The sequence below is a fragment of the Homo sapiens genome, chromosome 1 (genome assembly GCF_000001405.40).
Source record: "Homo sapiens chromosome 1, GRCh38.p14 Primary Assembly".
NCBI lineage: Eukaryota > Metazoa > Chordata > Mammalia > Primates > Hominidae > Homo > Homo sapiens.
In genome coordinates, this window is record NC_000001.11 from 48,122,546 (window position 1) to 48,148,699 (window position 26,154).

The 26,154-nt window shown below is 38.0% G+C and overlaps 1 long non-coding RNA gene and 1 pseudogene across 6 annotated transcripts in view; one reads left to right on the forward strand and one right to left on the reverse strand.

The window, feature by feature from the left end:
- LINC02794 (long intergenic non-protein coding RNA 2794) overlaps positions 1-26,154 on the forward strand; it is a 131,616-nt gene that overhangs the window by 72,775 nt on the left and 32,687 nt on the right. For all 5 annotated transcript variants that reach the window (XR_007066068.1, XR_007066073.1, XR_007066072.1 and 2 more), the window contains one exon: positions 19,489-19,616. This is a non-coding gene — a long non-coding RNA (long intergenic non-protein coding RNA 2794). The remainder of the gene's footprint in view (positions 1-19,488; positions 19,617-26,154) is intronic.
- Positions 1-26,154, reverse strand: part of SKINT1L (Skint1 like (pseudogene)) — an 80,714-nt pseudogene that overhangs the window by 20,831 nt on the left and 33,729 nt on the right. The window contains exons 8-9 of the transcript NR_026749.2: positions 5,915-6,028; positions 5,363-5,476 (exon numbers count right to left, since the gene is read on the reverse strand). The product of NR_026749.2 is annotated as a Skint1 like (pseudogene) (transcript). The remainder of the gene's footprint in view (positions 1-5,362; positions 5,477-5,914; positions 6,029-26,154) is intronic.

A 26,154-nucleotide genomic window follows, 5' to 3' on the forward strand; every position in this document is an offset into this window, starting at 1 on the left:
AGGCAAGGAGTAGTGCTGAGGAGTCATTCTTAGGAATTTAGGAGGAGAGACCATGGCAGAAGCAGTGGCCACACATGAGACACCAGAAAGATACAAAGACAGCAAGCAGACCAAATTCCAGCAGGAGGACAGACTCCATAAACCAGTTCTGACTTGGGACAATCGGACTGGGTGAGCCTCAAAAATGTAAAATAGTGAAGTGGAGTGTCACACACACTTGGCTATTTCATAAATATCTCAAATTAGATAGTGGAAATATTAAAGGTGTGGGTGGAGAATTGAGAAAAGTCTGAGTTAGCTGGTAGATTTAACTGAAGCAATATGAAAAAAAATCTACTCTTTCTCAGGTCTACTTCCAGAGCTTAGGGCTTTCTGAACACAAGAGAGGGACTGATATGATGAGTTGCTGCTAAGGTGATTAGTCCCTTTCTGTTTCTAACAGAACTGCTCCAAGAAATTAGAATGGTGCCCTACAACATTCCATTTCCATAATGAGAAAGACTCAGTGTACTAATCTGCTCAGGCCTCCAATAGTACAGGACTTTACTAGCTTAGCTTTGGCCCTCCCTTCAAGAAACATCCATTTTACCATGCTTCTTATCTTTCTCACCATAGGGCACTCCAAAATGCAAATTCCTGTAGTCTCTCATTCCGTGGATCCTTTTATGCTTTTAGTCTTTCATTTATTTTTTCTACCCATTCTATCTGTTGACCCAGGACATTCATCCTGTTTCAGTTTACTCCACCCAATATTTCTGCCTTATTTATATAATTGTCTTCTTTCTTCCTTCCTGTGATAATTTTATTTTCCAATTTGGCTAGGCTATAGTGTCCAGTTTTTGATCAAGTAGCAGTTTACATGTTGTTGTGAAGACATTTTTTGGATGTGATTAACATTTAAATTTGTAGACTTTGACTAAAGCAGATTACCTTCAATAATCTGAGTAAGCCTCATACAGTGGGTTGAAGGCCTTCAGAAAAAAAAAACCGAAGTCTTCTGAGGAAGAAGAAATTCTGTGTCCAGATCCCCTTTGGACTCAAGGGTACATCAGCAACTCTTCCCTGGGTTTCCAGATTGCTGGCCTGCCCTGCAGATTTCGGATTTGCCAGACTCCGCAATCATGTGAGGCAGTCTTTTCAAACAAGTCTCTCTCTCCATATACACATCTTATTGGTTTTCTTTCTTCAGAGAACCTTTACTAACACATTCCCTTAAAGAAAACTTGACTCTGCCCCATGGAAACCACCTACCTTGTATGTGTCACTAATTGTTACTGCTTTTCCTCTCCCACCCTAGACCAAAGAGCCAGGGGGCAGTGTCAGCATTCTGAAGCTCCCTTATATGTCCTCAGAAAGCATGTTATTTTCTTATCAGGTAAAAATCCACCTTTCTTTGTTACTGAGGCTATCCAACCAAAACAGTGCACACTACTTTTATGCTTCTTGATTTAACAAAAGCAACCAACTTTCCTATCCCTTCCACTAATTCTTTCCAGATAATGTCTGGCTTTAGCCTATACATCTGGGACAGTGATATATATCTTGAAGGGTAATTGTCAGAATTAGAGCCAATGTGTATAAAATATTTAGTAATATGAGACCATTAGCAGGCACTCAATACATAGGAGTCAGCAATTATTGTGTTTCTATTCAGTATAGGTTCTTATATAATCATACGAGGCTTTAGTGACCAAAGGAAAAGCAATCCAACACCCCAGTTTCAAGATTGTTTGACCCTCATTCCAAAACCCTTCATCTGAACTCCTTTGGCCACTCATTACCATGGCAATGTCCTATAACACAGTAGTTTAAGAAGAGCACATGCTCCTTAAAGCTCTTCACCCACTCACCACAAACACATTTTATACATTTCAGTTAGAAAAATGGCTTACTGAAGAAAAACATTGCTTGCCTATTTTTAGTTTTGTTTCAACTGCTTTTGAAGAATTTGTCATGAAATCTTTGCCAAATGGTACTTCATAAGTTTTCTTCTAGGGTTTTTACAGTTTTAGGTCTTATATTTAAGTCTTTAATCCACCTTGAGTTGATTTTCACATATGGTGAAAGGGAAGTGTCAATTTTCAATCTTCTGCATATGACTATCTGGTTATCCCAGCACCATTTAATGAATAGGGAATCCTTTTCCCATTGCTTTTGTCAACACTGTCGAAGATCAGACTATTTTGACAAAGTCTCCAAAAGCAAGTGCAACAAAAACAAAAATATACAAGTGAGACCTAATTCAACTAAATAACTTCTGCACAGCAAAAGAAACTATCAACAGAGTAAACAGAGAAACTACAGAATGGGAGAAAATGTTTGCAAGCCATGTATTCAATAAAGGTCTAATATCCAGAATCTATAAGAAACTTAATAAGCAGAAACTAAACAACCCCACTAAAAAATGGGCAAAGGAGATGGACAGATACTTATTAAAAGAAGATATACACACAGCCAGCAAACATATGAAAAAATGCTCAACATCACTAATCATTAGAGAAATGAAAATCAAAACCACAATGAGATACCATCTCCCACCAGTCAGAATGGTGATTATTAAAAAGTAAAAAAGTGGGCTGGGCGTGGTGGCTCATGCCTGTAATCCCAACACTGGGAGGCCGAGCTGGGAGGGTCACTTGAGGTCAGGAGTTTGAGACCAGCCTGGTCAACATAATGAAACCCCTCTCTACTAAAAATACAAAAAATAACTGGGCATGGTGTTGGGCACCTGTAGTCCCAGCTACTCAGGAGACTGAGGCAGGAGAATCACTAGAACATGGGAGGCGGAGGTTGCAGTGAGCCAAGATCACACCACTGTACTCCAGCCTGGGTGACAGAGCAAGACTCCATCTCAAACACAAAAACCCAAAACAAGTAAATGGATAGCAGGTGCTGGAAGCCAGTTTCTCTCAGAAAGAGGGAAGTTACAGACATACAAGTACAGAAGGCTAAAGTAAACTACATCATGTTGGAGTAGTGTTAGAAAAAAAAGTAAAAAAAAACAGATGCTGATGAGGTTGCAAAGAAAAGGGAATGATTATACACTACTGATGGGAATGTAAATTAATTCAGCCACTGTGGCAAGCAGTTTGGAGATTTGTCAAAGAACTTCAAATGGAGCTACCATTCAACCCAGGAATCCTATTACTGGATATATACCCAAAGGAATATAAATCATTCTATAATAAAGACATGTGTGCACACATTTATCTCAGCACTATTCACAATAGCAAAGACATGGAATCAACCTAGGTGCCCATCAGTGGTAGACCAGATAAAGGTAATGTGGTACATATACACCATGGAATACTACAGAACCATAAAAAAGAATGAAATCATGTCCTTTGCAACAACATAGATGCAGCTGGAGGCCAGTGTTCTAAGCAAATTAATGTAGGAACAGAAAACCAAATATGACATGTTCTCACTTATAAGGGGGAGCTAAACATTGGACACTCATGGACATAAGGATGGCAACAAAAGACACTGGGAACTACTGAAGTGGAGAGGGAGGGAGGAAGGCAAGGTTGAAAAATTGTTGAATACTTTGCTCACTACCTGGGTAACAAGATAATTCATATTCTGAACCTTAGCATTACACAATATATCCACATGACATACTTCTTTTCAACATATTAATAAAGGTCCCAGCCAGAGCTATTAGATAAGAAAAAGAAATGAAAGACACCTAAATTGGAAAGAATGAAGTAAAATTATCTGTTTGTAGGTGACATAATCATATATGTAAAAACTCTAATGACTAGTAAAAAAATTTTAGAATTAATAAATTTAGTAAAGTTGCAGGATTCAGATTTTACATACAAAACACACTTGCGCTTCTATACACTGACAAAAATTGACACATAAAAAATTATGAAATAAAAGCCCATTTGAAATAACATCAAAAGGAATAAAATACTTAGGAATAAATGTGACTTGGAGGTAAAATATTTATACCTTAAAAAGTATAAAGCATTGATGTGAAAAAATTAAAGAAGATCTGAGTAGCCAAAGCAATATTTAGCAAGATAAAAGCTGACATCACACTCCCTGATTTCAAAATATAAAGATACAATAATTAAAACAGTATGGTACCACCATAAAAACAGAACATATAGACCAGTGGAACAGAATAGAGACCCCAGAAGTAAATTTACACATTTACTATCAACTGATGTTTGATAATGATGCCAATAAAAACAATGTGAAATGGAGAGACTCTTCAAAAAATGATGTTGGAAAAACTATTCCTGCATGTAGCATAAGTAAATTGGACCTTTATCTCTCATCATGTACAAAGATGAACTAAAAATGGATTAAAGGCTTAAATGTAAGAACCGAAACCATAATACCGCTAGAAGATACTATAGGAAAAAGCCTTTTGACATTGGTCTGGGCAATGATTTTTTAGAATGACATCAAACACAAAAGCAACGAAAGCAAAGATAAGTAAGGCTACATCAAATTAAGAAGCTTCTGCGCAGCAAAGGAAATAATCAAATGAAAAGTCAATGTATGGAATGGAAGAAAATATTTGCAAGTCACATTTCTAATAAGGGATTCGTATTCAAAATATATAAGGAACTCATTCAACTCAAGAGCAGAATGCCAAAACACTCAATTAAAAAACGAGTAAAGAGCCTGAATTTATATTTTTCAAAAGAAGACATGCAATTGGCTAAGAGGCGTATGAAAAAGTTCTCAATACCACTAATCATCAGGGAAATGCAAATCAAAGCCACAACAACATATCATCTTACACATGTTCTAATGGCTATCATAAAAAAGAAATAACAAATGTTGGAGAGGATGTAAAGAAAATGCTTGTATACTGTTGGTGGGAATGTACCTTGGTACAGCCATTATGGAACAGTATGGAGGTTCCTCAAGAAATTAACAATACAGTTGCCTTATGATCCAGCAATTGCACTTCTGACTACATATCTATCCAAAGGCAATAATACTGGTATGTTGAAGAGATATTTGCACCCCCATGTTCACTGCAGCAGTATTCACAGTGGCCAAGATATGGAAAAAAATCTAAATGTCCATCAATGAATGAATGGAAAAAGCAAATATGGTGTATATATATAATGAAGTATTATTCAGCCTTAAAAAAGAAAAAAATCCTGCCATTTGTGGCAACATGGATGAAACTGGAGGACATTATGCTAAGTGAAATAAGCCAGTCAGAGAAAGACAAATACTGCATAATCACATTTATATGTGTAATTTCAAATATTCGAGCTTGATATATCAAACTGAATTTTGTAAGGTGATCTTTGAGAGGGGATTTCCTTCACTTAGGAGTTTGACTGATACTTTGGTGTTCATGCTGCTGTTTATGGCTGCAGTGACTTACCTTGTCTTGTCTTGATGCTGCTGATGTGACTCACCCACTGTGAGTGAGCTGGTTGCTACTTAAGCTCTATCTTGCTGTCTCAGAGGCAGAGGGTAGAATGGTGTTTGGCAGGGGCTGGAAAGAGGAGCAAATGGGTTGATGTTTGTCAAAGGGCACACATTTTCAGTGATGCAAGATAAGTAAGATTTCGAACAATGTAACTATAGTTAGCAATGCTGTATTGTATACTTGAAATTTGCTGAGAGGGTAGTTCTTATGTGTTTTTATTCACCCAAAAGAAAAAGATAACTATGTGAGGGGATTGATTGAGGTGATTTACATGTTAGTTAGCTTGATTGTGATGATTATTCCATAGTATATATGTATACCAGAATGTCAAGTTGTACACCTTAAATATACACAGGTTTTATTTGTCAATTATACCTCAATAAAACTGTAGAAAGTACCAAATTGAATTTCGTAAGGTTATCTTTGAGAGGAGATTTCCTTCACTTAGGAGTTTCACTGATACTTTGATTTTCATGCTACTGGTTTATTGCTGCAGTGACTTGCCTTGGCTTGACTTTACGCTGATGTGAATCACTCACTGTGAGAGCTGGTTGTTACTTCAGTTCTGTCCTGTTCTTTTCTCACCTCACAGCAGCACTGGTTACCAAGGTGGTGTTTCTGAGAAATTGGAGGGAGCAAGGAAATGTTAAAAATCTGGATTGATTAAGTCATATTTGGGCGATTAGTCTAATACTTCTCTTCCAACTGGGCAGTGGCAGTCCCAGGTTCTATTCCGTAATTTAAAAAAATCTTATTTTCCTATTTTATTGACTCCTCTTTTGTGTCAAGAAGGGAAGTTTGCTGCTGGCCAGTTTTAGGAAAGTTCATTAAGATAAACATCTTGAGTCTCATAATTAGTTTAGAGGCAGATAGATCCTGGGAAAGGCAGATAAAGAAAATAAGTTTGCCTTCTCTTTTGTCAGCTTGGTTGTAGCTACTAACAGAAATGGAACTTAGGGAAAGTATGTCCACATTCAGAATAAGAGCAAAGGATACTAATTTCTCTTTAAGACAATGAGACAATGATTCGTCCTGATTTTTCCTTATGATCAGCATCATTTAAACTGATCTTCCTCAGATTTATAGTGCTGTCTTCTTCAGAGGCTTAGTGTCAATGGACTGCAGTATGATGATGTGGAGGCAGTTTATGACAGAAAAGACACATTTGTACTCTACTAGGGGGCATCTGTCTATATTATAAGGAGCATGTTTCTTAGAATAGCAAAATTTCTGGTCAGCTCTGATTGCCAGTGTTTCAGCTACACATTTTTATTTTTACTTGATCCCCCAAGAGAAGGTTATGTGGAGGATGCTTGTAATTCCTCCTCAACAAGAGGGAGAATAGGCATAGCTGCTACAGTCCTCTTTTCAGTAACTAGTTATAAAGCTATAAATAACAGTTACACTTAATACTCCCTGCTCCAGATTCCCTTTTCCCTCAGCCATTCCTCTCTATGTTGGGATTATTTTTTTATCTGGTAAAAAGACTCAAATCTGAATTCCTAAAGCATCTGAGTCTTTAGCGACCCTGCCTTCATTGCATCCCTGTGGTCTTTAATTAATATCTGCTACTGAACTTGAAGTAATTACATGTTTCTCAGAGAACTCCTTGGATTTTAGGCATAATTCTCTCTACCTTGATGGTGTTTATTTCCACTTGATAGCTGGAATCAATCCCTTTTTATTGACCAGTTGATTCAGTGGCACTGGGAGCCTAACTTGGCCAGGTGGCAGTCTCAACTTCCATGTCACCAGGACAGATGTTGCCTACTTATGTGAAGTCACTCCTTTCTTGGGAAGCCTTTTAGACTGACAGACCTCAGACTCGTGGGAGTGAGAAACAAGAGTATATAATAAATAGATTGTTGAATATGATAGTAAAAGAAACCACTCCCACTTTTATCTCTCTAGTCTTGAAATTATGCATTTTGGTCATGAAACTAAAAATCACCACATATAAGTCATCGATCCAAATAAAGGACTGCATTTTATGGGGTTTTTGCAGCCTTGCAGATGGTGCTTTTCAACTAGCAACATGTTTTTAGTAGGATATTCCAATGATCCAGATGAACAGCTGCTTCTATATAAAGAAATATATATATATATATAGTAATATTGGTCAATTCCCTAAGTAAGAGCTCTTCACTGTACTTTTTTTTGTGGCAAAATTAGTTCCTTGATCAGAAACCATTTTGCACAGAATAGCATAATGACAATACAAATGTTGTCATATGTCTGTGCTTGACGATGCTGGCAGAAGCGCTGCAGCCAAGGAAGGCATAGTCACATATAGGATAATTGTCTAATCCAGTGGAAAAAAATGCTCTTCTCTCTCTGGTGGAAGAGGTCCAATATAATCAATCAGTGGAGAATGCGTGCCAATCTGGGACTTAATATATAATCACTATCATTGACATTTGGGTAATGAGTTGTTTCAGCAGGCAGAGAAGCTGTGGGAAGAGAAAATCCATTTTGTTGACCTCATGCATAACCTCTAGCCCATCACCATGGCTGTTTTGTACATGAGTCCATTAAACAAGCACCAGAGTTGCTCAAAGAGTGACTGACATTCACAGGATGGGGCACCTTGTGATTCGACCATAGAAAGCTTCCTCTCCAATAGGCAACTTTGTATAATGATGTAAATAATTCATGACTATATCATACTTTGTGCTCATTCTGAAAGTTATATTAACACGTTTCCCAGACTTCATTTACTAACCTTTCAACTTGATTTATGCAAAGATTCTGACCAGCTGACAAACCCATCAGCTCATGTTAATGGGCTAGTGTATATGTTTATGGTCAATTAGTGTCTTATTATCAGGCATCTCTTTTTATTTGTATAAATTTATTCAGTACAAGTACAATTTTGTTACATGCATAGATTTCATAGTGGTGAAGTCAGGAGTTTTAAGGTATCACCCTAATAAAGTACATCATAATCATTAAGTGATTTATCATCATCCACTCCCTCCAACCCCCTCACCCTTCTGAGTCTCCATTGTGTATCATTCCATACCTGATGTCCATTGGTATACATTATTTATTAATAGCTCCCACTTATAAGTGAGAATATGTGGTATTTGTCTTTCTGTGTCTGACTCGTTTCACTAAAGCCTTCAGTGTCATCCATGTTGCTACAGAAAATGTGATTTCATTATTTTTTTATGGCTGAATGGTGTTCCATTTTGTATATATGCCACATTTTATTTCTCCAGTCATCTGTTGATAGACACTTAGGTTTAGTCCATACCTTGGTTATTGTGAATAGAACAGCAATAAACATATGAGTGCAGGTATCTTCTTGATATATAGATTTCTTTTCCTTTGGGTAGATACCCAATAGCGGGATTGCTGGATCAAATAGTAGTTCTGTCTTCAGTTCTTTGAGAATTCTCCATAGTGTTTTCCAAAGAGGTTGTAGTAATTTACATTCCCGCCAACAGTATATGAGCTCCCTTATTCCTGCATTCTTGCCAACATCTGTTATTATTTTTTTATTTTTATTTTTTTGAGACAGAGTCTCGCTTTGTCTCCCAGGCTGGAGTGCAGTGGGGCGATCTTGTCTCACTGTAACTTCTGCCTCCCGGGTCAAGCAATTTTTCTGCCTCAGCCTCCCGAGCAGCTGGGACTACAGGCATGCACTACCATGCTTGGCTAATTTTTGTATTTTTTGGTAGAGATGGGGTTTTGCCATGTTGGGCAGGCTGGTCTGAAACTCCTGACATCAGGTGATCCACCTGCCTCAGCCTCCCAAAGTGCGTAGTAATAGCTATTCTGACTGGGCCAAGATGATATAACATTGTGATTTTAATTTGCATTTCCCTGATGATTATTGATGCTGAGTATTATTTCTTATACTTGTGTGTCTTCTTTTGAAAAATATCTATTCATATCCTTTGGCCACTTATTAATGATATCATTCATTGTTTTAGTTGTTGTTCAGTTGTTTGAGTTCCTTATATATTCTGGATATTAGGCCCTTGTCACATGGATAGTTTGCAAATATTTTGACCCATCCTGCAGATTGTGTCTTTATTCTGTTGATTATTTCTTTTGCTGGGCAGAAGAGTTTTAGTTTAATAAAGTCCCATTTGTCTGTTTTTGTTTTTGTTGTATTTGCTTTTGAGGACTTGCTCAAAAATTCTTTGCTTAGGCCAATGTCTAGTAGAGTTTTTTCTAGGTATTATTCTAGGATTTTTATTGTTTCACCTTTTATGGTTAGGTCTTTAATCTATTTTGAGTTAATTTGTGTTACTGTTGAGAGATAGGGGTCCAGTTTCATTCTTCTGCATATGGCTATCTAATTTTCCAAGTACCATTGATCGAATAATGGTGTCCTTTCCCCAGCGTATGTTCTCATCAAATTTGTCAAAGACCAATTGGCTGTAAATGTGTAGCTCTTTTTCTGTGTTCTCTATTCTGTTCCATTGACTTATGTGTCTATTTTTATACCAATACCATGCGTTTTTGGTTCCTAGAGCCTTTTAAAATAATTTGAAGCCCGGAAATGGGATTCCTCCAGCTTTGTTCTTTTTGCTTAGAATTGCTTTGGCTACTTGGGCATTTTTGGGGGGCTCCATATGAATTTTAGATTTTTAAAACTTTTTTTTTTTTTTTTGAGACAGGGTCTTGCTGTCGCCCACGTTGGAGTGCAGTGGCGAGTTCTCGGCTCACTGCAGGCTCCGCCCCACGGGGTTCACGCCATTCTCCTGCCTTAGCCTCCCGAGTAGCTGGGACTACAGGCACCCGCCACCTCGCCTGGCTAAGTTTTTGTATTTTTAGTAGAGGCGGAGTTTCACCGTGTTAGTCAGGATGGTCTCAATCTCCTGACCTCGTGATCCGCCTGCCTCGGCCTCCCAAAGTGCTGGGATTACAGGCATGAGCCACCGCGCCCGGCCTTAAATCATTTTTTAAAATTTATTTTTATTATACTTTAAGTTCTGGGATGCGTGTGCAGAACATGCAGGTTTTTCACATAGGTATACGTGTGCCATGGTTCTTTGCTGCACCCATCAACCCGTCATCTACATTAGGTATTCCTCCTAATACTGTCACTCCCCTAGCCGCCCACCCTCTGACAGGCCCCAGTGTGTGATGTTCCCCTCCCTATGTCCATGTGTTCTCATTGTTCAGCTCCCACTTATGAGTGAGAACATGCGGTGTTTTGGTTTTCTGTTCTTGTGTTAGTTTGCTAAGAATGATGGTTTCCAGCTTCCAAGGACATGAACTCATCCTTTTTTATGGCTGCATGGTATTCCATGGTGTATATGTGCCACATTTTCTTTATCCAGTCTATCAGTGATGGGCATTTGGGTTGGTTCCAAGTCTTTGCTATTGTGAACAGTGCTTCAATAAACATATGTGTGCATGTGTCTTTAGAGTAGAATGATTTATAATCCTTTGGGGTATATACCTAGTAATGGCATTGCTGGGTCAAATGGTATTTCTGGTTCTAGATCCTTGAGGAATCACCACACTGTCTTCCACAATGTTTGAACTAATTTACACTCCCACCAACAGTGTAAAAGCGTTCCTATTTCTCCACAGCCTCTCCAGCATCTGTTGTTTCCTGATTTTTTAATGATTGCCATTCTAACTGGCATGAGATGGGATCTCACTGTGGTTTTGATTTGCATTTCTCTAATGACAAGTGATGATGAGTTTTTTTTCATATGTTTGTTGGCTGCATGGATGTCTTCTTTTGAGAAGTGTTTGTTCATATCCTTTGTCCATCTTTTGATGGGGTTATTTTTTTTTCTTGTAAATTTGTTTGAGTTCTTTGTAGATTCTGGATATTAGCCTTTTGTCAGATGGATAGATTGCAAAAATTTTCTCTCATTCTGTAGGTTGCCTGTTCACTCTGATGATAGTTTCTTTTGCCATGCAGAAGCTCTTTAGTTGAATTAGATCCCATTTGTCAATTTCGGTTTTTGTTGCCATTGCTTTTGGTGTCTTATTCATGAAGTCTTTGCCCATGCCTATGTCCTGAATGGTACTGCCTAGGTTTTCTTCTAGGGTGGTTATGGTTTTAGATCTTACATTTAAGTCTTTAATCCATCTTGAGTTAGTTTTTGTATAAGGTGTAAGGAAGGGGTCCAGTTTCAGTTTTCTGCATATGGCTAGCCAGTTTTCTGAACATAATTTATTAAACAGGGAATCCTTTCCCCATTGCTTGTTTTTGTCAGGTTGTAAAAGATCAGATGGTTGTAAATGTGTAGTGTTATTTCTGAGGCCTCTGATCTGTTCCATTGGTCTATATATCTGTTTTGGTACCAGTACCATGGTGTTTTGCCTACTGTTGCCTTGTAGTTTAGTTTGAAGTCAGGTAGCGTGATGCCTCCAGCTTTCTTCTTTTTGCTTAGGATTGTCTTGGCTATGTGGGCTCTTTTCAAGTTCTGTATGAAATTTAAATTAGATTTTTCTAATTCTGTGAAGAATGTCAATGGTAGCTTATTGGGGATAATGCCGAATTTATAAATTACTTTGGGCAGTATGGCCATTTTTGTGATATTGATTCTTCCTATCCATGAGCATGGAATGTTTTTCCATTTGTTTGTGTCCTGTCTTATTTCCTTGAGCAGTTATTTGCAGTTCTCCTTAAAGAGGTCCTTCATATCCTTTGTAAGTTGTATTCCTAGGTATTTTATTGTCTTTGCAGCAATTGTGAATGTGGGAGTTCACTCATGATTTGGCTCTCTGCTTGTCTATTATTGATGTATAGGAATGCTTGTGATTTTTGCACATTGATTTTGTATCCTGAGACTTTGCTGAAGTTGCTTATCCATTGAAGGAGATTTTGGGCTGAGACAATGGGGTTTTCTAAATATGTAATCATGTCATCTGCAAACAGAGACAACTGGAGTTTCTCTCTTCCCACTTGAATACCGTTTATTTATTTCTCTTGCCTGATTGCCCTGGTCAGAACTTCCAATACTATGTTGAATAAGAGTAATGACAGAGGGCATCTTTGTCTTGTGCCAGTTTTCAAACGGAATGCTTCCAGCTTTTACCCATTGAGTATGATATTGGCTGTGGGTTTTTCATAAATAGCTCTCACTATTTTGAGATACATTCCATCAATACCTACTTTATTGAGAGTTTTTAGCATGAAGGGATGTTGAATTTTGTTGAAGGTCTTTTCTGCATCTATTGAGATATTATTGTGGTTTTTGTCATTGGTTCTGTTTATGTGATGGATTAGGTTTATTGATGTGTGTATGTTGATCTAGCCTTGCATCCCAGGGATGAAGTCAACTTGATCGTGGTGGATAAGCTTTTTGATGGGCTGCTGGATTCAGTTTGCCAGTATTTTATTGAGGATTTTCGCATTGATGTTCATCAGGGATATTGGCCTGAAATTTCCTTTTTTTGTTGTGTTTCTTCCTGGTTTTGGTATCAGGATTATGCTGGCCTCATAAAATGAGTTAGGGAGGATTCCTTCTTATTCTATTGTTTGAAATAGTTTCAGAAGGAATGGTACCAGCTCCTCTTTGTACCTCTGGTAGAATTTGGTTGTGAATCCGTCTGGTCCTGGATTTTTTGGGTTGGTAGGCTATTAATTACTGCCTCAATTTCAGAACTTGTTATTGGTCTTTTCAGGGATTTGACTTCTTCCTGGTTTAGGCTGGGGAGGGTGTATGTGTCCAGGAATTTATCCATTTTTTTCAGATTTTCTAGTTTATATGCATAGAGGCGTTTATAGTATTCTCTGATGGTAGTTTGTATTTCTGTGGGATCAGTGGTGATATCCCATTTATCATTTTTTTATTGCATCTATTAGATTCTTCTTTCTTTTGTTCTTTATTATTCTGGAGAGTGGTCTATCTATTTTGTTGATCTTTTCAAAAAATCCAGCTCCTGGATTCATTGATTTTTTGGAGGGTTTTTCATGTCTCTATCTCCTTCAGTTCTGCTTTGATTGTAGTTATTTCTTGTCCTCTGCTAGCTTTTGAATTTGTTTGCTCTTGCTTCTCTAGTACTTTTAATTGTGATGTTAGGGTTTCGATTTTAGATCTTTCCTGCTTTCTCTTGTGGGCATTTAGTGTTATAAATTTCCCTCTAAACACTGCTTTAGCTGTGTCCCAGAGATTCTGGTACTGTATGTGTTTGTTTTCATTGGTTTCAAAGAACTTATTTATTTCTGCCTTAAGTTTGTTATTTACCCAGTGATCATTCAGGAACAAGTTGTTCAGTTTCCATGTAGTTGTGCAGTTTTGAGTGAGTTTCTTAATGCTGAGTTCTAATTTGATTGCACTGTGGTCTGAGAGACAGTTTGTTGTGATTTCTGTTCTTTTACATTTGCTGAGGAGTGCTTTGCTTCCAACTATGTGGTCAATTTTGGAATAAGTTCAATGTGGTGCTAAGAATGTATATTCTGTTGATTTGGGGTGGAGAGTTCTGTAGATGTCTATTAGGTCCGCTTGGTGCACAGCTGAGTTCAAGTCCTGGATATCCTTGTTAACCTTCTGTCTCATTGATCTGTCTAATGTTGATAGTGGGGTGTTAAAGTCTCCCATTATTATTGTGTGGGAGTCTAAGTCTCTTTGTAGGTCTCTAAGGACTTGCTTTATGAATCTGGGTGCTCCTGTATTGGGTGCATATATATTTAGGATAGTTAGCTCTTCTTGTTGAATTGATCCCTTTACCATTATGTAATGGCCTTCTTTGTCTCTTTTGATCTTTGTTGGTGTAAAGTCTGTTTTATCAGAGACTAGGATTGCAACCCCTGCTTTTTTTTGTTTTCCATTTGCTTGGTAGATCTTCCTCCATCCCTTTATTTTGAGCCTATGTGTGTCTCTGCACATGAGATGGGTCTCCTGAATACAGCACACTGATGGGTCTTGACTCTCTATCCAATTTGCCAGTCTGTGTCTTTTAATTGGAGCATTTAGCCCATTTACATTTAAGGTTAATATTGTTATGTGTGAATTTGATCCTGTCATTATGATGTTAGCTGGTTATTTTGCCTGTTAGTTGATGCAGCTTCTTCCTAGCATGGATGGTCTTTATAATTTGGTATGTTTTTGCAGTGGCTGGTACTGGTTGTTCCTTTCCATGTTTAGTGCTTCCTTCAGGAGCTCTTGTAAGGCAGGCTTGCTGGTGACAAAATCTCTCAGCATTGCTTGTCTGTAAAGGATTTTATTTCTCCTTCACTTATGAAGCTTAGTTTGGCTGGATATGAAATTCTGGGTTGAAAATTCTGGTTTGAAAATTCTTGCCTGGTATCACCAGCGGAGGTTGCAGAAAATTCTTGCCTGGGTATCACCAGTGGAGGCTGCAGAACAGCAAATATTGCAAAACAGCAAATGTTGCTGCCTGATCATTCCTCTGGAAGCTTCGCCCCGGCCGTGTGAGGTGGCAGTCGGCCTCTACTGGGAGGTGTCTCCCAGTTAGGCTACTTGGGGCTCAGGGACCCACTTGAGGAGGCAGTCTGTCCATTCTCAGAGCTCAAACTCCATGCTGGGAGAACCACTGCTCTCTTCAAAGCTGTCAGACAGGGACGTTTAAGTCTGCAGAAGTTTCTGCTGCCTTTTGTTCAGCTATGCCCTGCCCCTAGAAGTGGAGTCTATAGAGGCAGGCAGGCCTCATTGAACTGCGGTGGGCTCCACCCAGTTTGAGCTTCCCAGCCACTTTGTTTACCTACTCAAGCCTCAGCAATGGCAGACGCCCCTCCCCCAGCCTTGCTGCTGCCTCACAGTTCAATCTCAGACTGCTGCACTAGCAGTCCTAGCAGTGAGCAAGGCTCTGTGTGCATGGGACCCACTGAGCCAGACATGGGATATAATCTCCTGGTGTGCTGTTTGCTAAGACTTTTGGAAAAGCGCAGTATTAGGATGGGTGTGTCCCAATTTTCCAGGTACCGTCTGTCATGGCTTCCCTTGGCTAGAAAAGGGAAATCCCCAACCCCTTGTGCTTCCTGGGTAAGGCAATGGGGGTAGCAGCTCATCCAGGGTGAACTCACACATGTTTCAGGCAACTTAAATTCTCTTTTCTTATGCTAAATTATTTATAGAGTTAGCCCATAACAGCAAAAGATAATGTTTCTTAGACCTCCCTTCTACTTGATCTATTCAACTGGCTGAGGGCCTTTGGGGACCACAAGCATTAGAATATGTTCTACATCCTGAACCTCCATTGATGGGACCCCAAGCTTGATGGACATTTCTTCAGCATCAATTTGCTTGCCATGGACCCCAAATAAATTCTCAACCCCAATCGTTGATATAACCCCTGGAATCTTCCTTCATGGAGACACCCCACAAACCTTGGTACTGTCAACTCTGTGATGTTTGGGAACCTCCTTAGTCCTGCAAAAAACTGCCAGAAGATATGGCCCATCTAAACTGGTGGGATGTTAAAGGCCAGAGATGAGATCCAGGAACCAAAGGAAAGATCATAGTTGGCCATTGCCTCTGAAGGGAAAACATACAAAGTGGTGCTGTTGCCCACCTAAGGTCAGAGACATGTGAAAATCTAAGATGGGACCCTAAAAGGGTACACCTGGGGGTCCAATGTGAAACCAAAGACTTCCCCAGAGGGACACCCCAGGCAGAAACTTTGGGTCAATAAATAAGCCCTCCTTAGGCTTTTTTTCTTAGAATCTTTTTTATTCCTTACCATCATGGGAAACACTGCATCTATTCTACCTGATTCTGCACTTGGCTGCATCCTCAACCATTGGAATCCGTTTGACCCTGATAATCTAAGCAGGAAATGCTTGATACTCTTTTGCAGTACTGTTTGGCTTCAATATTGTTAGGAATCTGGAGTTTGCTGTTGAATGGGAAAGTGGAATGAAGTTGCACATATCCAGACTTTTGTGCTGCTGTTCTAAGCAGGGTCGGGCTGTGCATAGAGTTACACCCTATGCAACTGTGATGCTCTCTTTTGGTGCTGTTGGTCCTCAGTGTTCTTTGGAGTCTAGGGAGGTTTGGCCTTTAAAAATCAAACTTTCATAGAAGCTGCTTTACCTAAAATTTTGATTCACAGTCTTTGTGGGATTACCTATTGGGGCAAACAAAGTGTAACCATGTAAAACTGGTGAGCTTGTATTGTTATCTTACGGCTAAAGTTCCAAGGCAAAAGCTACTGGATCTTCATTTTTGTGTGTGTATACATGTCTAGATGTGTTTATTTGCATGTACACTTATTGTTGTGGCTACCAAATTGGCTTGTAAGCAGAAGAGCACTCATAAACTAAGTAAATAAGTGCAAGCAATTTTCAAGTTCATATGACTTAAGAATCTTAAGTATATCTTCAGTAAAGTATATCTTTACTGAACAAGCTGGTTTTAAAATTATCAGTAAAATAAAAATAGAAATGTCTTCAGAATTGTAAACATACATTTTTTCTGGGTTTTATATATGTCTTTGCTAGATATTTTGAGTTGTCAGTGTTTGGCATAGAAGGTAATAAACCTATTAACTCAGCCAAAACAAAATCATCTTGATTTGTGTGCCTTCTTTGACAAATGAGAATAGTTTAATGTTGTTAGCTAAATTTTTTGAGTTATCAGCAAAAATACCTACGTATTTAACTTTGAGGCTTTTATTTAGGTGAGCATATGATGTTCATTGGCTATTTTAAAAAAATGGTTAACAAGAAAATAACTAACCTTAAATGATGGTGTCTAATATCTCGGTTTTCAGAAGTAATCTAGATAAACTGTTAAAAATGAAAAAAATTGAGTACATGTAAATGGGATAAATGTTTTAGGTGAACTTTTGTGTAAATTAAAATTCTAAAATTATTTTTATGCTTATTGGATATCTGGGTTATTTCCAGTTTCAAAAGGATTGTGATATGAGGAAATATGTCTCTAAAATTGTGAAATTGTTCTCATCTATAAAAATGATCATATCTGATAGTTCAGGATTTCTTTTTAGGTTTCACCAAAATTTAATGTTACTAAGGATAAGAATTATAGTTAACACATATTTCTGTATATAAAATGTGCCCAAATTTATGTTATTAGTAAAAAATAATTTTGTGTAACTCTGAAGTTATCTAAAAGTTAATTAAAATTATGGACTTTAAAAAGGTTTTGAAACAAAGTAATAAGGAGCTTGTAAGTAAGGGAGAGAGATGTGAAGAAAGTTATTATATGAAGATGTATTTTTTATAAGGAAGGATATAAAGTTAATAATTTTGTATGAGGAAGGATCTTCCATGGTAGATTTTCTTGTCCTGGAGTAAAATGACTGGGAAGAAGAAGAAAGAAGGAAGAAGGAAGAAGGAGGAGAAGGAGGAGTAGAGGAAATCTGGGACTTAATGGAAAGCTCAGGCATGTTGTGGATGATCTGTATGTCATACATAGTTTTTTTTTTTTCTGTTTTTCTGTGTGTTTATCTTCATGCATATACAGAGAAACTAAAAAGTTGAAACATTTTAGATAATAAAATATTCTCTAAAACCTGATAGAGAATTGGAGAAGTATGGCTAATTAACATTTTCATAGTTAAAGCTCTGAGTCTTAAGTAAATTAAAATAAGAAATATTGTAAAGAAATACATTGGCAGTTTGACAATTCTTTTTTAATATAGTTAAGCATGAAGTCGGCCTTAATGTACATGCTTACATTGCTTCACATTATGTCTGCTGTTTTGCATGGATAGTGCTGGCACTAGAGTACTTTCTGGTCATGTGCCTAGAGTAAATTTCTTGATTGCACAGGATGTATGCTAATATCAGTGGACTTCATAATATTGAATTGTATAACAGGAATAAAGTATTCACTACATGTTTTGTGGGGGGCTCTGAGTAACACTGTAGCCTCCAGAGTAGACAGAGTAGGAAAAAGGTTGATGGTTGGTTTTCTGTTTATTTGTTTTTGCTTCTCATTTTCATTTGTTTGCTGTTTGTTCTGTTTGGGGTTTTGCTTGTGTATGCATATATATTTATATAAAATCATTGATTTTTTTTTTTTTTTAGTTTCTGATGGAAGGCTTTCATTTGGTTCTCTGAATGGTTATTTCATTTCCTGTGCATTTCTAGCAAGTCAATATTTTTTCCCTTTATCTTGAATTCCTAGGCTATCTTTGTTTGGTGTGCAGAAATTGATGGAGCCTGCCAGCTATTTGGAATTTGGTTGGTTTTGCTTGCCTCTGGTGATCTAGAGAGCTAAAAAAAATAAAAGACTTAGTTTTATATGATATAAACAGAGAAAGTACATTATATATTTTGTTTTTTGGAGAGGTGGATGGAGTGGAAATGTTTGAGTAGTGTTTGTTTCCAGGGTCAGCCAGTTGAATCAATGGTTTGAGTTGGTTTTAGAACTTTTCCTCTGATGTATAAAAACTATAAGTTCCAAATTTGGGGCTCATAGCAAAACCACTTTATGAAGCAACAAGGGAGGCAGAAAATAAGTCAATGGAGTGGACCCCAGAAATGAAGGGAGCCTTCACCAAGTTAAAACAGGCTCTCAGCCAGGTTCCACCAGTTGGTATCCTGAAACTCACTTAGCCCTTCTCATATCTGGATTGTCTAGGAGCATGGGCTGGTATTTGATTAACCTTTCCCCTCTCATCCAGATGTGTCCTTTTATTTCTAGGACTGACCTTACTTGATGTGGGGTTAACACATCCAGTGGTTGACCCAGGGTGATTTTAGTGGTTTCTTCCACAAAAATAGCAGTGGCTACTATTGCCCACAGGCAGCTTGGCCACCCTAAGGCCACTCTGTCCAATTTCTTTGAGAAGTAGGTGGTTGGCCTGGGTTCTAGGCCTAATATTTTAGTGAGCACATCCACAACTATGCTTTTCTGTTCTGCTACATACAACGAGAAAGGCTAAGTGGTTGCTTTACAAAATAGAAGGGGACTGGATCTCCTAACTGCTGAAAAAGGTGGCGTATGTCTTTTCCTAGAGGAAGAATGCTGTTTTTATGTCAACCTATCAGGATTAGTAAGAGATGCCACCCAAAAATTAGCTGACCAGGTCTCTAAAATATGTTGACAGCTGTCTGAGTTATGGGGCTCCTTCCCTTAGTTGGCCCATTATTAATAATTATAGTGGCAATGATTTACAGACCATGTTTGTAAATCCTTTAACCAGATTTATTTCTTCTCACCTAGAGACCATTAAGCTTCAAGTGATCATGCAGAAGAGCTACCAGCCAGTTTCAGATAATGGCCCTGGTCATTGAGAGGTCACACTGTCTTCATTAGACAGAGAAGGGAGAGCGTTTTGTGATCCTCAATAGGTAGGGACTGCATACAAATCAGCATGAAGCAGTTACAGAAGAAAGACCATTGGTCTCTCTGCCTCCCATAAAAATGTATGGGGCTCACATCTCTCAGGGGGAAATGAGATAGAATAGAGTCTGCAGACAGGGAGCCTAAGGCCAACCCATGGCTGGCTTCTTCGAATTAAACTGAAGAAAAACTTCAGCCTCTTACTGGCCATGGGCCAAGCCCCCATTTCAGCCTCTGGTTGGCTGTGGGTGAATCCTTCATTTGCATAAGGTGTAATCAACTGAAAGCCTCTAAAAAGTACCTAGGGGTGTTACCAAATTCTTCTAGCTTAATAAAAACCCAAGGAACATTGCAACTGGGGCTCTTGAGCCTCTTGCTCAAGCCTGCTCCCACTCTGTGGCATGTACTTTTGCTTCAGTAAATCTGTGCATTCATGTCTTTGTTCTTTCGTTGCTTTGTTTCTGTGTTTTGTCCAATTCCTTGTTCAATAAGTCAAGAACCTGGATGACTCATAGTCAAGACCCTCCACCAGTAACAGCAGCACTGGAGTCTCTCTGAACTTATTATGGTTTAGAAGGTTGCCTGATTAATTGTTCTTTACTCAATTAAACTCTGTTTAATTTGTCTAAGCTTTGTATTTTCAAAAGAATTTATAGTCAGAAGTATTTATCCAATGTATCAGTAAGAAATAATCAGGATCAGACCATTTAGGGCTTTGAAAACCAGCTTAAGCAATGAGCAATGAGCTCACTGTGTGAACAACGTAAGTTCACTGAAGTATTTTGAACAAAGTGCCAAGATCCTATAGACACATAGAGGCTTATTCTGACTGCAGTGCAAAGACCATATTAAAAGCCAATAGAGGAGATTCTGGAAAGATGAAAGAGTAGAAGGAACCTTCTCATGTAAATAAAAATTACATCAGCAGAATCTGTGTGATGTAAACTTGGAATCTCTGGAGTGTATTGAAAGTTTGCAACTACCAGGGGAAGTCTTGGATACTAAACTGTAGTTAATTACAGCCAATTTCAGCTTTTAGCACAGCAGCAACCCATTCCCTATCCCTATCCTCTTGGTAGACAGTTGTGTGTGTGCTCCTGGAGCAGCCCGCACATAGATTGCAACAGCCACAGCAGGCAAAAAGAACCCTTTCCTCTAAATATTGGTGATCTGTTGCCTGATCACTCATCGCTGCTTCTAATCAAAAGGTGCAGGCGCCGAAAGGGAAACCATTGTTGTTGCATTTCCTCTGCTGTTGCAACACCCTCCCTTTCCATCTGAGGTGACATTCAGGATGCAACTGTGAGGAAATGTGGGGGAGACACACAGCCAAGAAAGAGTCTACCAACTGATCAATAAGCCTACATGCCACCTGCTGGATCACGCCCCAGAGCTTCAACATCAAAAATACCTGGCTAACATTCCCCAACTCTGAAACAAGAGGCAATAAGTCAGCTTCAAATAAAGACCCTACAAAAAGACCTGGTCCAGTGAAAACATCCAGAAAAGAAGTCTTGACTGTACTCAATCTATATTGCAGTCAAAGGAACACCCACACGCAGAGTGAGAAAGAACCAACACAAGAACTCCAGTAACTCAAATGGCCAGAGTGTTGTATGCCCTCCAACACCAGGTCTCCAACAAGAGTTCTTCACCCCGGGAGGCGGAGCTTGCAGTGAGCCGAGATAGCGCCACTGCAGTCCAGCCTGGGCGAAAGAGAGAGACTCCATCCCAAAAAAATAAAAAGAGAGAAAAAGAAAAAAAAAGAGTTCTTCACCACGCTGAACTGGCTGGGATGACAGAAATAGAATTCAGAATATGGATAGGAATAAAGATAATAGATTCAGAAGGATGGTAAAGCCCAATCTAAAAAAAAAAAAAAAGTGTCAAAATAAAGTGATACCGGAGTTGAAGGATGAACTAGCCAGTATAAAAAAGAAGCTAACAGGTCTGACAGAGCTTAATAACACAATATAAGAATTTGACAATGCAATCACAAGTATTAACAGTAGAATAAACCAAAGTGAGGAAAGAATCTCAGAACTTGCAGACTGATTATCTGAAATAAGACACACAAATATAAAGAAAAGCAATAAAAAGAAATAAGCAAAATATCTAAGAAATATGGGATTATTTAGAGACCAAATCTGAGAATCACTGGCATCCTGAAAAAGGGAAGGAGAAAGCAAACAACTTGGAAAACATATTTTAGAATATCATTCGTGAAAACTTCCCCATCCTTGCTAGAGAAGCCAATAGTCAAAATCAGGAAATACAGAGAACTCCTTTAAGATTCTACACAGGAAGATCATAACTAAGACACACAATCATCAGATTTTTCAGGGTTGAAATCAAAGAAATAATGTTAAAGGCAGCTAGAGAGAAAGCAGGTCACCTACAAAGGGAATCTTATCAGGCTAATGCAGAACTCTCAGCTGAAACCTTACAAGTCAGAAGAGATTGGGGGCCTATATTCAACAATCTTAAAAAAAAAATCTTCATTCAAGAATGTCATGTCCAGTTCAGCTAAGCTTCCTAAGTGAAAGAGAAATAAAATCCTTTTCAGAGACACAAATGTTAAGAGAATTTATTATCACCAGCCCTGCTTTACAAGAGATGTTGAAAGGACAACTAAATATGGAAAGAAAAGACTGCTACCAGCTAATACAAAAACGTGCTTTAACACAAAGACCAGAGTCACTGTAAAACAGCCACAGAAACAAGCCAGCATAATAATCAGCTAACAGCACAATGATAGGATCAAATTCAACATATCAGTACTAACCTTGATGTAAACAGGCTAAATGTCCCCACTTAAAAGGGACAGAATAGCAAGCTGAATAAAGAACCAAGACCCAATGCTATGGTGTCTTCAAGAGACCCAGCTCACATATAATGACATTCAAGCGCTAAAAATAAAGGGATGAAGGAAAATCTATCAAGCAAATGAAAACCAGAAAAAAAGCAGGGGTTGCAATCCTAATTTCAGACAAAATGGATTTCAAACCAATAAGACCAAAAAGACAAAGAAGGGCATTAAAAAAATGGTAAAGGGTTCAATTCAACAAGAAGACCTAACTATCATAAATATATATGAATCAACACAGGAGCATTAAGATTCATAAAGGAAGTTCTAAGAGACTTACAAAATGACATAGGCTCCCACACAATAATAGTGGTAGACTTCAATAGTTCACTGAAGTATTAGATCATCGAGGCAGAAAATTAACAAGGATATTCAGGAACTAAACTCAACATTGAACTAAATGGATCTGATAGACCTTTACAGAACTCTCCCCCACAAAACAGCAGAATATACATTTTTCTCATCACCACATGTCACATCCTCTAAAATCGACCACATAATTGGACATAAAACCATCCTCAACAAATGTAAAAAAAAAAAAATTACACCAAAAACAGTCTTGGGCCACAGCACAATAGAAAGAGAAGTCAGGACTGAAAATTGCTCGAAACCATGCGATTACATAGAAATTAAACATGATCCTGAATGAGAATGAGACCCGAGATACAACATACCAGAATCTCTGGGACACAGCTAAGGCAGTGTTCAGAAGGAAATTCATAGCACTAAATACCCACATCAAAAAGTTAGATCTAAATTCACAACCTAACTTTACAACTGAAAGAATTAGAGAAGCGAGAGCAAATCAACCCCAAAGCTAGCAGAAGATGAGAAGTAACAAATATCAGAGCTGAACTGAAGGAAATAGAGACCCACAAAACGTTCCAAACATCAATGAATCAGGAGGGTTTTTTTTAAACAAAATTAATAAAGTAGGCCACTAACTATAGAGACTAATAAAGAAGAAAATAGAGAAGATTCAAACAAATACAATTAAAAATGATAAAGGGAATGTTACTACTGACTCCACATAAATAAAAACAACCATCAGAAACTATGAGCACCTCTACAAACAAAAAACCTAGAAGAGATGAACAAATTTCTGGACTCAAGACTGGGCCAGAAAGAAATTGATTCCCCGAACAGATCGATAATGAACTCCAAAATTGAATCAGTAATAAATAGCCTATCAACCAAAAAAAAGCTCAGGGCCTGATGGATTCACAAGCAAATTCTGCCAGCTGTACAGAAAAGACCTGGCACCATTCCTACAGAAACAACTGCAAAACCTGTGGAGGAGGGATCTCTCCCCAACTCATTTTATAGTGACAGCATCATCTTGATACTAAAACCTGGCAGAGACACAACAACAACAAAACAGACCAGGCCAATGTCTTTTATTAACATTGAGTCAAAAATCCTCAAGAAAATACTGCAAATCGGATCCACCAGCACATCAAAAAGCTTATCCACCATGATCAAGTAGGCTTTTCTCCTGGAATGTAATATTGGTTCAACATACACAAATCAATAATGTGATTTATCACATAAACAGAACTAAAGACAAAAACCACATGATTATCTCCATAGATGTAGAAAAGGCTTTCAGTAAAATTCAACACGTCATTTTAAAAACTCTCAATAAACTAGGTATTGAAGAAACATACCTCAAAATAATAAGAGCCATCTGTGACAAACCCAAGCCAACATTATACTGAATAAGCAAAAGCTAGGAACATTCCCCTTGAAAACGCACAGGTAAGGATGCTCTCTCTCACCATTTCTATTCAACATGGTATTGGAAGTCCTAGCCAGAGCAATCAGGCAAGAGAAAAAACTAAAGCACTTCCATATAGAAAGAGAGGAAGCCAAACTCTCCCTGTTTGCAAATGACATGATTCTATATCTAGAAAAGCCCACAATCTTGGCCCAAAAGCTTTTTGAGCTGATGAACAACTTCAACAAAGTTACAGGATACCAAATCAACGTACAACAGTCACTAGTATTCCTCTACACCAACAGCCAAACCAAGAGCCAAATCAGAAAGGTAATCCCATTCACAATTGCCACAAAAAGAATGGAATACAACTCACCAGGGAGATGAAAGATCTCTACAATGAGAATTACAAAAAAAAAAAAAAAAAAAAACAAAAAAAACTGCTCAGAGAAATCAGAGAAGACACAAACAAATTTTTAAAATTCCATGCGATAGGAAGAATCAATATAATTAAAGTGGCTATACTGCCCAATGAAATGTACAGATTCAATGCAATTTTCATCAAAACACCATCATTATTCTTCACAGAGCTAGAAAAAAATATTTTAAAATCCGTATGGATTCAAAAAAGAGCCCAATTGGCCAAGGCAATCCTAAGCAACAAGAACAAAACTGGAGGCATTATATTACCTGACTTCAAACTATACTATAAGGCTACAGTAACCAAAACAACGTAGTACTGCTATAAAAACAGGTATATAGACCAATAGAACAGAAAAAATAGCCCAGAAGTAATGTTACACATCTGTGATCATCCTGATCTTCAACAAAACTGATAAAAGCAAGCAATGAGGAAAAGAATCCTTATTCAATAAATGGTGCTAGAATAACTGGCTAGCCATATGCAGAAGATTGAAGCTGGACTCCTTCTTTATGCCATATACAAAATTCAACTCAAGATAGATTAAAGACTTAAGTGTAAAATCCAAAATTATAAAAACCCCAGAAGACAACCTAGGCACTACCATCCTGGACACTGGAGAAGGCACAGATTTCATGACAAAGACACCAAAAGCAATTGCAACAAAAGCAATAATTTATAAGTAGGATCTAATTAAACTTAGGAGCTTCTGCTCAGCAAAAGAAACTATCAACAGAGTGAAGAGACAACCTACAGAATGAGAGAAAATATTTGCAAGCTATGCATCTAACAAAGGTCTACTATGCAGTGTCTATAAAGAACTTAAACAAATTTACAAGAGAAAAACAACCAACTCAATTAAAAAGTGGGGAAAGGACATGTACTTCTCAAAAGAAGCATACATGTGACTAACAAGCATATGAAAAAAAAGCTCAATATCACTAAGTTTTTAGAGAAATGCAAATCAAAACCACAATGAGATACCATCTCACACCAGTCAGAGAATGGCTATAATAAAAAAAAAGTCAAAAAATAATAGATGCTGGCAAGGTTGTGGAGAAAAGGGAATATTTACACACTGTCGGTGGGAGTGGTGGGAGTGTAAATTAGTTCAAGCATTGTGGAAAGCAGTATGGTGATTCCTCAAAGAGCTGAAAAAAAAAAAAAAAGAACTACCATTAGACTCAGAAATCCCATTACTGGGTATATACCCAGAAGAATACAAATAATTTTACCATAAAGACACACGCACAGGAATGTTCACTGCAACGATATTCACAATAGGAAAGACATGGAATTAACCTAAATGCTCATCAATGACAGATTGGATAAAGAAAATGTGGTACATATACACCATGGAATACTGTGCAGCCAAAAAAATGAGTGAGATCATGTCCTTTGCAGGAACATGGATCAAGCTTGAGGCTATTATACTTAGTAAACTAATGGAGGAACAGAAAATCAAATACCACATGTTTTTATTTATAAATGGGAGCTAAGTGATAAGAACTTATGAACACAAAGAAGGAAACAACAGATAAT